Below are 17570 nucleotides of genomic sequence, written 5' to 3'. Positions count from 1 at the left end.
TTTCGAGAGCAAGAAAAGAGAGGGAACATTGTCCAAGGCTCGAGAGGAGAAAAGGTCCCTTGGTCCTCAGCTAGGCCTGTTCCTTCCCCCTTGCAGGGTCTCCTCTGCAAGGATGGTTACAGAGTTCATCTGAGGAGGTGGAACCTTGCTCAAGCCTACCAAGGAGAATGCTGGGCCTGAAAAAGTCAAATGGTGTCTCCATAGTAACCAGTAGGGCCTGAGGTGTCAAAGCAATGCTGCGGTATAATAGAAAACCCCAGGCCTCTTAACTAACTATTGGAGTGGGAGGAGATGGCATTGAATAATACCTGACTTGCAAACCTTTCAAAGGTGGATGGGTACTCAGATTCATGATTAAAATGATGTTTAAAAAATTATAAAGCAGTATTTCTTACACATCTGTTTGTGGACTAGGATTCATTTCTACTGCATTAACATTGCATATGGCTTTGCAATTTTCAAAATTATGTTCTTACTTTAGTTAATTTATGCCTTAGAATAAATATGTGAGTACACATTATTATCAGCTTTGCTTTACAGATCGGGGAATTACGATTCACAGAAGCTCAACAACTTGCCTAAGAATACAGAGCCAAGTGGTGGCAGAGTCAGAACTTGAGGTCAGATCCATGTGCCCCTGAAGCCCACATTCTTTTCAATATGGCGTGTTGCCTTTCTAATAGGGAAACTGGTTCCATTTGTTAAGTACTATTGAGGAGATGGCTGGAGTTACTTAAATATAACTAAATTGCTATTTTAAGCCATAATTAGCAATAACAAAATGAGACCTCAATCACAGGTTCCCAGGGTCGCTGTGGAATCAGCTTACTCAGATGTTTCTACCCAGCTGCTCTCAGACCCAAGCTCCTTTTCAGGCCATGAGCATTCCTCTCCTCTTCAGATAAGCTGCCTCCTTGTGTTTTATCCATTAGGGTTGCACCACTGCTCTGCAGTGGGACAGTCTCGACAGGTTTTTCCTTCCCTACTGCCCCAAATACAAACAAAGGGCTTTGATTCTTCTCTAAGCATTTGAGTAATCTACAAGGAAATAGTGTGCTCATGACAGCATACAACAGGAAATTGTTATACAGTTATAAAGTTCTTACAGCAGTGATCCTTTCTCTCTTCGCATGGCAATGTGTCCTGTTAGCCTGAAAACTTCAGCTTTAATCTTGCTTCCCAGGGTGAAGATATTATCAAGGTAGACTATTAAGTGTCATCACTTTCTCACTGTTCATCTATGCCCTCCTTGGGTTTACTTCCCACACTGTTCAACCTAGAATCCATGGCACATCATTTTAACATTCTTATTCCCTTCCTCCACTCTCCTTTCTTCTTACAAAACACTAGCCCTGAATGAGCCCGCTATCCTCCTTTCTTTTGCCTACACCAGAGCAGCTGAACATAGCTGCACAAAATCTCACAACCCAGATGATGGTTTCACTGAAAATTCATACTTTACATGAGCCCTCATTAGTACCAATCAATCCGGTTACATTTATCCAGTCTTTCAATTCCTTAAAAAAAATGACTTCATACCTTCTTCTCTCTCCTTCAGCCTTCTAGGCTCCTTCCTCTCTCAGATAATGGCAATGCCTCTTACTTCACTTTCCCAATTTCACACCCAAAGCACCTGCATCCGCCTTCTCTTTCTTCCCTCTATCCCTCTCCCTACCCAAGACCCATGCTCCATGTGTATTCCCTCTGCCTCCTCCAAGCCATCATCACGTTGTTCTCCTGGGCCATCATTTCTCTCTATTAGGAATCTCTCTTTTCACATATAATTACTATTAAATTATAATTGAATAATTATAATTGAACCTCCCAACTCTTTCTGATCCCAAATAACTCTCCATTTCTCCTCTCAGCACCACAGCAAAGCCTCCAAAGGAGCTGTTCATGTACATCATACCTCCCCTTTCCTACCTTCCATTGTCTCTGAAATGCTACCCACTGCCCTCCAGCAAATCTTGTCAAGGTCAACAATAACTTTCATGTTGCCAAAATCAGGAAGCAGTTGCTTTTCTTCACTCTTTCCACAGTTTCAGCCCCACAGATGATTGTCCCACTCCCGAAGCACTGCTCTCTTGACTTCCTTTTCAGCACATTCTCCTGGTGTTCCTATTAATATCTCACTGGCCTCAGTATTATTGGTCTTCTCCTTTTCTTTTCCTGAAGAAAGTATAGCATTTCCTCAAGGTTCTCTCTGGGACTCTTCTCTTCACTGACACTTTCTTCTGAGTTAATCTCATCAATTCCCAAAACTTTAACTATAATAAATCATATGTTCCAATTCCAAAGTAGTAGTTCATCCTTGTTGAGCTTCAGACATTGATATGGCACCAATCTTTCCAGTGAAATTAAATGTCAAAACATTTCTTTAGATTGTTCAAGCCGCAAATCTAAAAATTATTCTGTTTCTTCCCTCTCCTTGCCTTTGACACAAAATCCATTAGTAGGGAGGTTTCCCACCTCCAAAATCTCTTCACCATCTTCTTATCTGTATCTCTCTTCTTATCTCTCTTATCACTGTCATCTCTCACCTGGATTTTTGTAACTGCATCCTAACTGCCCTCACCTTCCCAATCCTGTCACACTAGAATGAATTATCCCATAATGGCAAAAATAATCCTCTTAAAACAGAAATCAGAGCATCTAACCCCTGGGTTCTGAACCCTCCCAGGGCTTGCCCTTTCCCTAAAGGAAATCCAGACTCCTTATCCTGGCCACACACTACTGCTGATCTGACACGCTTTCTGACTCTGTCCCATGCCCCTGTTACATTTTGTCAGCTTGCTCCAGTTCCACGGAACTTTGAAATTCTTAAACATGGCTTTTTTTCCCATCAGGACCTCTGCATGTACTGTTCCTTCTTCTGATAACTTTCTCCCTCCAAACTCATCTCCTGGCTCTCATTTCTCAAAAATCTCAGAGAGGACTTCCTTGCCACCCCATCAAAAATCTTCTAAACATCACCTTATCTCCTTCATTCTTTTGACTTATCAAGGTTTGTAATTGTTTTGGTTCTTTGTTCAATGACTTGATGCTGCCTGTTTCTACCACAGAATTTATGCTCAATCAATGCAGAGACCGTGGCAGCTTTGTTTGTTCTTGTATCTCTGAGCACTGTGAGGGATACATAGAAACTTATAGATGAATATGTGCCAACTGCAGCAGACAAACACTCAGCAGACAAACGGTGGAAACCAGGAAGCCAACTTTTGGCATTGAACTTATAGGACAATCAGATCTTTCTTCAAATTCCATCATCCGTCTACAAATATGGCTTCCTCCTACATCATAGACAGGGACAAGCTTCATCACAGCAGCCCAGGGGTCTGCTAAGTACAGAGGCACTGGCCCAGCTGGACTAGACTAGATAGTGCACTTTCTTTGACTTCTTGAGCACAGACCCCAAGGAGTTCCATTATGTCAGATCGTGTGCATGAAACTCACTCTTCCCTGTTAGCAGACTGACTGACACCTATGTTGTAACCTATAGGTCTGTCATGGCTGACCATCTGCTGTGTCTAACTAACAGTGTTAAGACTTTTAGCATCTTCATGACCAGGTCAGGAATCCAGCCCTTCCCTAATCCCTGATTTCATGGCTTATCCTTAAACCATTATGACAATTAGTGTCAACTGAGTCAGTCCTAAAATATTTGGCTGTGTTGCAGTGCCAATAAGATTATAATGACTGATGCCTTTAGAATTCACCTTGGCCTTGACTGTATGTGGCCAATAAAATCATTTATTCCAAGACCAAATAGCTATTTCAGCATGGGGCAGAGTGTGTTTTATTACTGATTTCTGATTGGGTTACATCTAGAAAAATGTTCTAGACTTTTGTATTTCAAAATATATACCTATAAATTTTAAAATTTCTGAAGCATGCCTGATTTAGAGAAATATAGGAGAAATACCTCTCCCAATAACAAAATGGATTGAGATCTATGGTACTTCCATACAAAGGAATATTACTCAGCAATAAAAAGAAACAAACTACTGATAGATGCAACAACATGGGTGAGTCTTGAATGCATATACTAAGAAAAAGGGTCAGATTCAAAAGGTTCCATACTGTAGGATTCATTCATATGGTGTTCTGGAAAAGACATAACTGTAGGAACAGAAAACAGATGAGCGACTAACAGGGATGGGGGGGTGAGAGTAGAGATAATTCACCACAAAGAGATATGAGGAAATTCTTTGAGATGATGGAACTGTAATGTTCCATGAGATTTGAGGCAGAAAATCTCCCCATTAATGGGTTGTGTGTTGAAAGGAAAGGAGAGGGAAGAAACAGAATAACTTTTGGATTCCTGGCTTGAACAATGTGAAGTGTTTTGACATTTAATTACATGGAAAACACCAGTGCAGTATCAATTTCTGGAGCTCAACAAGGATGAACTACTACTTTGATTATGGTACAGTAGTCCTTATGTATTTGAGGTTTTGCTTTGCTAAGTTTTAGTTCCATGAGGTCAATATTAAATGGAAAATTTCAGAAATAAACAATTCATAAGTTTTAAATTGTATGCCCTTTTGATCGCATGATAAAAGCTCTTCCAGTCCCACACCATCCTCACTTTGTCCCACCCAAGATGTGAATCATCCCTTTGTCCAGCATATCCAGGCTGCACACACCACCCACCTGTTGGGTCACTTAATAGCCATCTTGGTTATTAAATCAACTGTTAGGGTATTGCAGGGCTTGTGCTCAAATAACCCTTATTTTACTTGATAATGGTCCCAAAGCCCAAGAGCAGTGATGCTGGTATATTGTTATAGTTGTTCCATTTTTCAGTAATGATTGTGTTAATCTCTTACTGTGCCTAATTTATAAACTAAACTTTATCACAGGAATGTATGTATAGGAAGAAGCATAGTATATATACAGGGTTTGGTCCTAGCCATGTTTTTGGGCATTCGCTGGGGATCTTGGAACATATCCCTGGAGGATAAGAGGGGACCATGGTATTGGTGACACAACTGTATGCCTGTTATTATTAGTTTTATGTGTCAACTTGACTAGGCTATAATCTCCAGTCATGCTGTCAAACGCTAATCTAAGCATTGTTGGGGAGGTGTTTTGTGGATGTGGTTAACCCCCACGATCTGTTGACTTTAAGTAAATTAGATTATCCTTGATAATGTGGGTGGACCTCATCAATCAGTTGAAAGGACTTAGAGCAAAACTGAGATTTCCTACAGGAAGAAGAAATTCTGCTCCAGATCACAGCACCACAGCCTCAGCTGCTGCCTGAGAGATTCCAGCCTGCTCTATGAAGTTTGGACTTGCCAGTCCTCATGATCACATAAGCCAATTCCATGGAATACATATATATGTGTGTATATATATATACACACACACACACACACACATATATATATATGCACACACACACACATATACCCTGCTGGTTCTATTTCTCTGGAGAACCCTAGCTAATCCAATGTGCTTATTAAAATACATAGAAATATACCATATGCCCCATAAAACGGCAAATTTTCCTAAATGGAACTTATACCACAATCAACTTGATTTTAAAAAAACTAATCAGGATTCTGTTTGGGGATGTAAACAGAAACAGCGTATGTGTGTTTATGCCTGAGCGTGCAGAGGAACATGTGTTTGAGACAGCGTACATGTGAATATATGCAGTGTGTGCCTTTGTAGGTATCTGTATTTCTGCAAGGGATATGAGAAAGGTGTTTGGGTTAAAAAAAAATCTTTAATCCTGAAAGTGGAGTGATAAAAACAAGGTATGTGTCTGTAGTCTGAGCTGATTAACAGGTTGTTCCACAGCTAAAGGAGGAGGCCTCCATGCAGCAGGACCTCAGTTGGTTTTTGTCAGTGTGCTGATGAGTGCACTGGGGTAGGAAAATTAAATTCAAATTAATCTATTTGTTGAAAACTTCCTACACACAAGATGCTGTGCCAAGTGGTTCAAGGTAAATAAAGGTGAATAAGATGTGGTTACTGCTCTCAATGTTCTCATAGTCTAGTAGAGGACATTTTAACAACTCCACAGATAATCATAATTCCTGACACAGGGTAAGAAACATCAGCCAGATAAAGAAAATTCTATGGAATGCAGAAGACAGGATATCACATTTAGATGGAAAGGTCAAAAAGCCTTCTCAAAGTTGTATTTAAGCTGGACATGAAGAAGGAATAAGATTTTGAGAAGCAGAAAAACAGATGAAGCAGAGACTATTTCAGGAAGAAAAAAAAATGCTTTAAGAAATTTTTTTTAAAAAGTGCAGATCCAGGAAAACATGGGCTGCAGGAACTGAGAGCTCCGGCAAGGCCAAAGAGACCTCAAGTCTCTTATAAATAAGTCCAATTTATTTATTTAATTCAACAAGCATTTGTTCAGGACTTCCAATGTGCCATTTGACTAGAATATAAAGTATTAATATATGTTAAAAAGTGAAAGATAAGACTAAGAAAGGGAAGGCTAAGGTAAAACAGACAGAATTTTAATTAGAAACAGCTTTAAAATGTTCTGTTTCCACTTAAGGAATGAATGAACCCAGACGTAAAATGGGTCACCCTGCCCCATAAGATCTGGTAAGATTTGCTCAAGCCATCATTCCACTCCCTGTTAAATGTCCAATGTCCTCCCCAAGAGGTTTGTGAATTCTTGGGGTAGGTGGTCTTTTTACTTCTCGCTTAGATTGTCTACTGCTCTTGAATTCTTGTTTTCACATTGTGCCCTGCAGCTATTGATTTGTGTGTCTTCCACACCTCTCTAGCCATCCCTTCTTATCTCAGGAACTAGGCTCCTGCCATTTTCCATTCATTCTTGCATCATCAATTTCTCCCGCCCTTCTGTATTATTCCAACAATACCATGGTATCTCCAAACTTAAAAACCCTTAATCTTATGTACTGCTCCAACTATTGCCTGAATTCTCTGCTACCATTTATGGAAAAACATTTTAAAATTGTCTGTTCTCAGTGTCTCCACTTCCTCCCATCCCATTCTTGCAATTTAAAAATAAATATATGGTTAAACATTTATCAAAATAATGGATACATATAGATTAAATACATTAAGTCACTGGCTTTGTCACTGGGGTGCTCCCAGATGTAAGTATCTGGGGTTCGTGTGGCTGCTCAGACTTGGAGGGAAGATGACTGTAACTCTAGGTCAGAGGCAAGGCAGTGGGATCAGGCTCGTCTGCCAGCCAGCGATCTGGAAATAGGCTAAGGAAGGCAGACTGAGGATCTCGTGCCGTATGTAGACTGGCACCAAACCCTCTACTTTGCCTAGTGTGCCTTATTTTAGCATCTCTCTAGATCTTTCCTTCTAACATGGATTGTGCTTGAGGAGGTTAGAGTTGTCATCTAGCTGTGTGGAAAGAGGAAAGGAACCTGAGTGAAAAGGTTCAGCTGTGCTGTGTACAGAACTGCAAACAAGCCTCACATCTCTGGGTGGAGGAATCTGGAGAATAAAAACAAGAAGCTGCTATCACTTTCAGGGGTGGAAAAGCAGAGGTGAAAGACCCCTGCTGCTGTTTGCAACTGTGAGCAGGAACCCAGGACTGCTGTCTGTGGAAGCTGCTGCTGGCGAAGTCCCCACCAAATACAGAAGAAAACGTGGCTTCTCCCTCCCCACTTTCTTCTTTTTCATTTTATTTTATTTTATTTCATTTCATTTTATTTTTTGAGACGGAATCTCCCTCTGTAGCCCAGGCTCGAGTGCAGTGGCGCGATCTCGGCTCACTGCAACCTCCATCTCCTGGGTTCAAGCCATTTTCCTGCCTCAGCCTCCCAAGTAGCTGGGACTACAGGCATGCACCACCACGCCCAGCTAATTTTTGTATTTTAGTAGGGGTTTCACCATGTTGGCCAGGCTGGTCTGGAACTCCTGACCTCATGATCCGCCCACCTCGACCTCCCAAAGTGCTGGGATTACAGGCATGAGCCACCACACCCTGCCTCTCCCTCCCCGCTTCCTTTTAATCTCCCAATTGCCTCCCACTGGCAAAATCTCCCCTTTTGCTCCTCCAGTATTCCACTAATTTTGTAATAAATGCCCTGAATTAAAGATCTTTTAAAAAAAATCTCAAAGTGATTGTATTTATCCAAAAGAATTAAAAGCAGTGACTGGAAGAGATATTTGCACACCCATGTTCATAGCTAAAAAGTGAAATCAACTCCAGTGTCCACTGAAGGATGACTGGATATGCAAAATACGGCATGCATATATAGTGGAATACTCTTCAGCTTTCAAAAGAAAAGACATTCTGACACATTCTCCAAAATGGATGAACCTCGAGGATATTATGCTAAGTGAAATAAGTCAATCACAAAAAGATAAAAGACAAATACTGTATGATTCCACTTATATGAGGTACTTGGAGTAGACAGAATCTTAGAGACAGAAAGTAGAATGGTGCTTGCCAGGTGATGGGGAGTGGGGGAAACAGGGAGTGTTGTGTAACGAGTATAAAGTTTCAGTTTCACAAGATGAAAAGGATGATGCAGATGGATGGTGGTGATGACTGTACAACCTATGAGTATATTTAACACCATTTAATAGTTTAAAATAGTGAAGGTGCTAAATTTTACATTATGTGTATCTTACTACAATTTTAAAAATGGAAAAAAAAATCCTGAGGTGGTTTTCATTTCTTGGTTGGATATTGACATACCCTCCCACTCCCAGCCCAGTTACTCTGCAACACCTACCATTTTGTTAGTCTTCATGGAACTTGCTGCTCTCTGAAATGACCTTGTTTACTTTTGTTTATTTACCATCTGTTCTCCCCCACTCAAGGGTAAGGATTAAGAGAGTAGGAATCTTATTTTCTTGTTCACCTCTGTATCACTAGCACCTAGAATAAAACTTGCTTCACAGCAGATTTTAATAAATATTAGTTGAAAGAATGCACACACACGAAAGGAGCCTTACACATTTTTCTTGATTTCCATAAAAAATAAGAAGGATCAACAGAATTCCTTTGTGCTGTACAGACTTTACTGATGAGTTGGGAAATAGAGGACCCCAAGTTTACATCTTGGGGTCAGTTTTTACTTTAAATCTCTCAAACACACCAATCTTCATCCTCCATTCTCTGGTCTTCTGATGCCCTCCACCCCACCTGTCGTCGGGGAATATCTATCCAAATTCATCCGGTGGAAGAACAGTTCCCTTTTCTCCAGCCCTGACTCCCAAACTCAGCTCAGGGCTTACCACTGTAACTCCAAACACTCATCAGTGTCCCCTACACAGACTGTCTCCTCTGGGTGTCCCCTTCCCACCTCTCTGCAATGGAAAGGTAGCAGCAGAGGGTTCAATTTTCTCACTGATATGAAATATGCTTCTTCTCTTAAAAGGCAAAATAACAACAATTTGTTCTGGTTTAAAACTACTTTTTTATATTATAAGTTTGCTTTTAAGTAGACACTAAATTACAAATGTGTCCTCAGATATGGAGGATAGTGACATGTAAGGACAACCCTACCTATTCTGTATCAAATAATACATTTTAAGGGAAATACAAGAAAATAGAAATATGTAGCTCAGCTCCCTGGCTCTTCTCTAAATGCATAGGCCCATTACAAAGTTAAATTAAAGGAAGGACAGCAGTGGGGGACCTGTGACACTTACTCCTTCCATCTTCTGCTTTCACGAACAAAACTCAACTCAAGTTATTTCTAAAGTCAGAAAAATTAAAACTCAAAGAAGTACCTGTGCATATATGTGTATTACACATCTTAATGGAAGACACACAATTCCAAACATTATTTGAATGTACATCCCTCAAGAAATTCACAGACTTGAGGAGCAATCTTCAGACAAGGTCGGAGACAGAAGTTCCTTTATCTCTGAGAACCAATCGCTGGGCCCGCCACTGCTAAAGGCCACTAAGAGAGAACGGAAGGGGACAGGGACTGAAGGCGGGCAGAGGAGAGAAAAATAGAAAAGAAAATAGGATTGTTTGAATACCACCAGCAATCGCCTCGGGCACATTTTCCTGCCTTAGCTGCGTGAGTCAGCCTGGCCGAACAATCTAAAAACTTCACAGGCCGGGCAGGCTGCAGGGTGCGGTGCCTACTTAGGTCCACCGTGGCCCACATGGACCTGCGACACTGCAGCCGCGCTTTCCCAGGGCCTGGGGCTGCGGGCGCCTCCCAGGCCGGTTCAAGCCACGCACCTCAGAGCGCACTGGAGAAAGTCACTACCTTATTTGCACACTAGTCATTACTGCATCCTCATCACCTCTTGGAATGAGAGTTGAAAATTTAAGCAGAGGATTTCTTTAATCAAATTCAAATGCTTTGCATAGCAAAGAAAACCGGGTCAAGGAGCTGCCGCTACAAACAAGTTCCAATTCTTAGCTAGAGCCAGGGGATAAATGTGAGCAAGTCTCCCCCTAGTGGACAGAGCGCGTCACCTTTCACTCGCAAAGACTGCCGCATCTGGGTCAGGCAGAAATTCAGGAAGAGCCAGGTGAGAAGGTGAGCTGGGAGGAGAGGAGGTAACCTTGTTATTGGAACCCACAGTCCCGCCTTGCCTTCTCAGATTTTCTTTTCAGTGGAAAAGCAAACTGCGTTGAAGTTTTTACACATCGTTTGAGAATGCTTACTCTTAAAATGTTTGTTCCTAATTCGTTGAATATGACTATATGTCTCACTATAATGGAGGGTAGCAGATCTAATGTCATTTTCTGGACTGGTTTTGAAAGGCCTAGGTCACCCCTGAGGGGGCACTCTATTTGGGGACAAGCTAAGGAGGACTGTGGCAAAGAAAGAGTGACTGGAGAAAGATGATCCTGTTTCCATGGACAAAATCAGTCCCAATGTCCTTGCCCCATGAGCAGTGACAGGTCAGCGACATCACCAGGCTGGCAGGATCCCAGGGGTAGGTTGTTCTTGCATCAGAGTCTTCCGGCCGACCCCACCCGCGTGGCAACCAACAGTCATGCTCTCTATCCTTTGCAAAGATAGACTGGACGAGCTGTCTCTGTCCAGACTAATCCTGACCAGTCTTTCCACAGTCTTCTCCAGCTATTTCTGGCCTTCAGTAGGGAAGCTTAGACTGAACTCCATAGAACAGACCTCAAAAGAGTTTCTAGGATCCTAAAATGTATGGAAAATATATATGTATGTGCACATGTTTAAGTGTATATATGAGTGTGTGTGCACGTGTGCATTTGTGCAAACTTTCTATATGCAAGCTTGCAGACTGTGAATTCATTCAATTTTCAAAGTATCTGTGGCCCAGGAAACATTATAAGTCACCCCACCAGTAAAACAAGCCATTGCAGTGATTGAAGTGCCTGGGCTGTGGAATTTGAGTGCCCAAATTCAAATCAGACTGAGATTCCTTGAGAAAGTAACCTAATAGCTGCAGCCCTTAGTTTCCTAATCTATAAAATGAGAATAATAATATAGTACATAATAATAACAATAGCACTTTATCCATTGAATTAATGGAAGGATTAAATGATATAATGCATGCAATGCACTTAGCGATTTACTTGACACATATTCATTGTTCAGTAAAGTTTGGCCTTCATTATTTATAATGAACCCCTTAAATTAGAAGCTGAGAAATGTTAGGGTCTTTAAAATTCCAGTGTGGGTAGCATACATTTTTCAATAATTTTGTGATTTTGGGATGAGATACAAGAATTATTTTTCTTTTGATAAAAACATATTCAATCTCTTTGGAACAATAAGTATGGCTCTATACAGGGTAATAAACTAGATGATAGAATTATAAATTTTAAAGCAAGTAGAAGCCTGAGTTATTACTAGTCATATCTCCTTCAATTCTGCTTTATAGGTGAGGTTATCCAGATACATCATGAAAATGACCTGCCCAGGCTATCCTGATGTTATGGCTACAGTTCAGGACCTTGATTTTTAATTATTAGCTGGCTTTACCACAGCTCTCAGAGGCCTTCCCCTATCTTCATGAGATTCTCAAAGGTCCATTAAAGAAAAAAATTGAGAATGGTTGTCCTGTGGGAAATAGACCATCATTCAGGTCTCTGCTCAAATCCCTGGCTTCCTGTTCCCTATGGCTCAAAGCGAGTTTTCTTCCTCTGAGAACTCTGTATATCACCATCTTATTACCATTTATCTCAGTCTGAAGATGCACATCATACTCCATTTTTCTCTTTGTTCCCTTAGATTTCAAACATCTTGAAAACAGGAAACATGACCTCGTATCTAATAGAATCTGACAAAATATTTCACAAAGAAAAAGATAAAAGGTATAATACAAAGGGATTAGAAAGCCGTTTATCTCATTGATGAACTCCAGCCTGAAAAACTCCAGAGGACCTAAGAAAAGTCCATTTCCCATTGCTGACTTCTTCTCCTCTCCTGGAAACAATATGAACTGGACAGACTGTGAGCAAAGCCAACAGCACAAATAAGGCTAGAGAAAAAGAAATAAAAAAAAATTGGACCCATTTTTATCTTGGGGCCAGGACTCTAAGATTTCAATGGGGCAAAAGATGAATGATTCATGCCTACAAATAGAATATATATGGCAGGAGCTTGTTCATAGGAGTATGACAAAAACTTTGTTTCTAGGCCTGGTTCCTGGACCCGGATCCCACATGAAAGAGCAAGACCAGGTGCCTGGCTTGGTTACACATCAGAGATTGGACAGGAACTAAAGGAGGGGGTGAAATCCCTAGCTCTGAAGGTTAGAGGACTTGAGGGCAGAGGTCAGGTTGGACATTATAGGGTCTTCTGTTTCTAGTCTCCCCAGTCTTGGCTTCTACTCCCATTTCCCTTGCTTCCTTCCTGCACCCCAAATTGGGTCATGATAGAAAAGAGATAGCCACACTTTCTGCTAATGCAAGAATTGTCTAGATGAAGCAAGAGTTCTCAGCCTGAGCTTAAATAGTTCTTTGATTCCCCCTGGAAGAATACACACAAAAAGTGAGCCCCAAGAACATTTGCATATTTGTCTGGGTGGAGGATTTATACATTTCATAGGATTCTCTAAGAGGTCTGTGACCCAAATGAGTTGAACGATGGCTGCTTTAGGGTCTCTCAAATCTTCACAGCTCCCCAAACTCTCCCACAGAAATTCTATTTCTTTTAGAGTTTTCGCTCAGAAGGAATATTTTTTGAATCTATTCCCTGACTTATGGTGGTTTTCACAAAGGAGACTTGCCTTGTGTCATAGACCAGGGACTGTAGACACCAGTGTGTTAGGGAGGATTCTCTAAAGTTGCTGTAAATTCTAAGCTACCGGCAGACAATGCAGGATGTCTGGAGAAACAGATTGCCTGAGATCCTAAAGGAGCCTAAATAATTCACTAACCCAAGAGAAACTCCTGAAGCACATAGCAAACTTATTGACCCCAGAGTGTTCCTTTGACATAACAGACACAGTAGCTTAAAGAAAGTATACGGTAATATGTTGACTGATAATCATTAAAAAATAACAGTAATTTATGTCTTTTTCAATCAGGTCTTTATCTTGACAGAGGGCTGAAAAAAACTTGCCTTAATTTATCTGTAAATTGTCCAGAAACCTGCTTTTATATAGCCGGAGAAAATGAGTGATGAGTCTGTCCCTTTGACCAAAGGAACTCACAACACAGAAGAAAAGAATATCGTCAAGATTCTGCTTTCAAAGACCGAGAATTTACAGTGTGTTGTTAGAGGTTATGGGGTTAGTTAAACACTAAAAGTTATTTGAGAGTAGCAAGCGATTGATTTTCCATGGGATTTAGCAATACTCTAGCCTATAGTAAATTGCAGATGTTGCTGGAGTACCCAGAGGCCCAACAGTGACAATAGTAGAGTACGGCCTAAACACTAGAGAGGCTTTACTTATTCAAATAAGAGTATTGGAAACATGGGCATTTTTGTCTTCTCTTGTGTTAGATGCCCAAATCAGCAATACTATATCTTCCTTCCATCCACCCAGTCTTCTGCACAAAATCCATTATCTTCTTGGACCATTGCATTTCAATGGAGAAGAAAAGTAAATGTCAATGAAAATGGAGACTGGGGAATTGAGAAACTGTATCTCAAAAGATGCTGTTGCAGACTGAGTGTAACACCTGTGGAAGACACTGCTGGTTGCCTGCCTAATATCCACTATCTCTTCTTTGCAATCAGACAACCATTTTGTTTTGAAATAGTTTTTTTTAATTGCATTTTCCAACTCTTCTCCAACTAAGAATGGTCATCTGATATTATTCAGGCCACTGAGATGCAAGCATAAATTGGAAAAACTTTCCCACAAGGTGCTGACTCAGCTAACATGTGCCTTTGGGGACCTTTGTACTTCCTCTTCTTTCATCCTGGAATGGAAACAAGGTGCCAAAGGTGGAGCAGTCACCTAGTGGCATGAGACATGTGTGAGAACAAAATTAAGATGCTGGTGATGGCTGGGCAGAAACATAGAAAGTGCTTGGGTCCTTAATAGCATCACGGAGCCATCATATCAGACCAGGACCCTCTGACTCTAGTCTTTTTATTATATAAGAAAAATTATATCCCATTAGTCACTGATTAATTAGGGTTCCTCTTACTTGCAGCCCAATGCAATCACAATGGATGTAAATGTCCTTATTCTCCTGATGCTTTGGGGCTCCATTAGCCTCTTGAAACACAGATGCACATCTAGGGAGAGGCAAAATATAGTAAAACTATGGTTTTCCTCTCTTGGTTATGAAATAGAATAAGACTAAGTTTCTAGCCCCAGGTGACAGGGATTCAAGAGAAAAGTTAATTTTCATTTTAGAAAAAAATGAATTTTTTTTGCACATTTGACTTTATAGCTTCTGAAATTCATACATGCTACAAAAACACAGTATAAGAAACAACTTATATGCAATACCATACAGTGACACTGTTTAAGTTCATCAGCTTTTACAATTAGAAACAGACTCTCACTGGCAGCATCTTCTTCCCTAGGTCCCAGTCTTTACTGTTTGGGATCAATCTTTACTCTCTCTGCTAAGATATTTCTCCTGTCTTCCGTTTTCTCCTTGTCCTAGAATCACAAATCCCTGTCATGTCAGCTGACCAAAAGTCCAAAATTCTTAATTTATTAGGGATGATAACTTATCCTCCTGCCTTTCATCCTCTCCCATCTCTTCTGTTTCATAGTGAAAGAATTATTGCTATGTTTTCCTGAATCACATGAATAGTCTCCTGTTTCTTCACTTTAGCTTTCCTTTAGAAACTTCTTAAATCTCTGATCAAATGTTTAGGATGGGATCAGTTCAAAGTGTATGGGCTTCCCTCCTCCCAACCATGACTGTAGGCTATAGGCCTAAGGCAGTGAAGACATGCAGGGGGGCACACTGGAATCTTTATTCTCTTCTATTCCAAAGTAAGCCCTGGGGAGGATAGGGGTTTTTGTCTTCTTTTAATAGAGATATTTACATAGATCCTGTCAGCAAAAGAGTCTCAAAGATCAAGGATGGAGAAGCACAGTTTAACTGGAAATAATAAGACAAAACCAGTGATTGGAGCTTCCCCTCTCACCAACTTTGTGTCAGAAACCAGAATTTTACCCCAAGTCCCTTCTCTCTAGCAGCTTTATGGGGCCTGTGGCTCTTGCCCCACCTCAATTTTTCACACCATCAGTGGCTCTTGGCTCAGGTATGGGCTGGCACCTCCCCTATATTAGTGACACTTCAATTTCTCCTGTCTTCATGGCCAGAGTTCCTCTCCCTGTTGAAGTGGCCAATTACCTGACAGCCATTGTCAGTGGGTCCAGCTGAGTCCCGGACTTTCTTCTCACTGGCCGCAGTCAATGTGTCTTGGGCCATGTCCTCAAGAAGTACTTGTTTTCCTTGATAAGGTATCAGGGCAGAACTGCAACAGGGACGCTATCTTTCACCCTGTCCTCATCTAAAACACACACACACACACACACACACACACTGCAATGTTGCAGCAAGGTGGGGTGTCCCGCTCCAGGCTGGTCACTGGATTGGGTTACCTCCCTTACCCACTCTTCCCAGGAAACATTTCCAAACCTCTGCCCTTACCATCTCCGCTGGAAGTCAGTGTAAGAAAATGGCTAAGAGTAGGGGCTTAGAAGCTCATAAAGTTACATTTAAGTCCCAACTTGCTGCTTTTTTCTAAGCTAAGAGACTGACAGTTACTTAACTTTTCTGAAACTCAGTTATTTCATCTTTAAAATGGGATTAATGATGATCCATGCTTTTTAAAGGTTAAATGAGGTCATATATGTTAAGTACTTAGTACTAAGGCTGGCATGTCATAAGTGTTGAGTAAATTGGTGCTTCCAATGATGGAGTTCTTCCTTTTCCATTTACTCAGAGGACAGGAATTCAGCAAATTCTTTCTTCATGTATTTCTAGCTAGTGGCCTCTCTGCTGTGTTTCCCCTATTTTATCTGCCAAGATAAAAGTAAAAAAAAAAAAAAAAAAAAAAGTTTGTGGTTCTCTGGTCCTGTCTCCCAGGTTCTCATCTCTCCCCAGCTGGGTGGATTCTGAAACTTCTGTCCCTCGCCTTGGAAATTCCTTTTCCTGTTCCTTTTCAACACTACTTGTAATGTTTAAACATAAAAAAATGAACCGTGGAATATAGAGGCTTGGTTTCCCCATCAGTTAGGCTGGTTATGTTGTTGGAGTGGCAGAGGGCTCTTACCATGGTTGTGGAGGAGTAGGTAAGGCAAATAGAGAAGCTACTGGCAGATACAGTAGCTGGTAGATACAGTAAGTCCCATAAAAAATACAAAGAAAAGATCTGGAACTCAGGTCAGAAAAGACAGCCATGTAAAAGTGTCACTTGAAAGGATTTAAACACTCAAGTAGGATTTAAACACACAGAAAATGGATGGAGAAGGCCATCTAGGGAGAAGGTGAATTGACAGCAAAATGCCAGAGGCTGGGAATTCTGGAGTTTACCTAGTTTGGCTGAATCAAAGGTTAAATTTCTGGGTTATGCAAGTAAAGATTAGCCTCAGATATTAATATCTGGCCAAGCCTTTTTTCTTTATGTGCGTTATTCACTACAATTGGAATCTAGAAGAAGTCTCTTCTAAGAAAATATAGGAAAGTTGAGAAGAGGCTGAAAAATCAGACTGGTGACCTAGGATCATAGAAACTGGCTGGATTTGCTTCATGGAGAATGTTATATCCTGGTAAATGGGAAGTTGCTATAATGTGTCCACATAATGCTGTTTTGATATACATATGTACTTACACACATGAGCCTATATATATATGTATGTCTATATGTGTGTGTTTATCTATTCAAACATGCATACCATATATATACACATACACACACATATCTATTCAAACACGCATACCTTACGTACATACCTTACATGCATGTAAAAGATATATATCATATACATATATATATATATACACATACATACAAACACATATACAGGCATTTAAGGTATCATGTTAGAATAGATATATGTATGTATATAGACATGTAGACACAGACATAAATATGTAACTGAATTACATATATGCCTATGTGTTTCTCTCTAGTTGGTGAGATTACGGGAAATTTTAACTTTTTCTTGAAGACTTCTGCACCAAATGTATTATTTTTATAATAGGAAAAATGGCTGCT

The 17570-nt window shown here is 40.6% G+C and overlaps 1 annotated feature.

Moving 5' to 3' along the window:
* Positions 10447-10506: an enhancer, noted in NCBI's record as "active region_25837". NCBI's record gives its function as "activates an Ori minimal core promoter by ATAC-STARR-seq in GM12878 lymphoblastoid cells {active_cell/tissue: GM12878}" and the evidence as "EXISTENCE:reporter gene assay evidence [ECO:0000049][PMID:35858748]".

This window comes from Homo sapiens, chromosome 7 (genome assembly GCF_000001405.40).
Source record: "Homo sapiens chromosome 7, GRCh38.p14 Primary Assembly".
NCBI classification, from domain to species: Eukaryota; Metazoa; Chordata; class Mammalia; order Primates; family Hominidae; genus Homo; species Homo sapiens.
The sequence above is the reverse complement of the archived record's forward strand: the minus strand, read 5'-3'. Positions and strand labels throughout refer to the sequence as shown.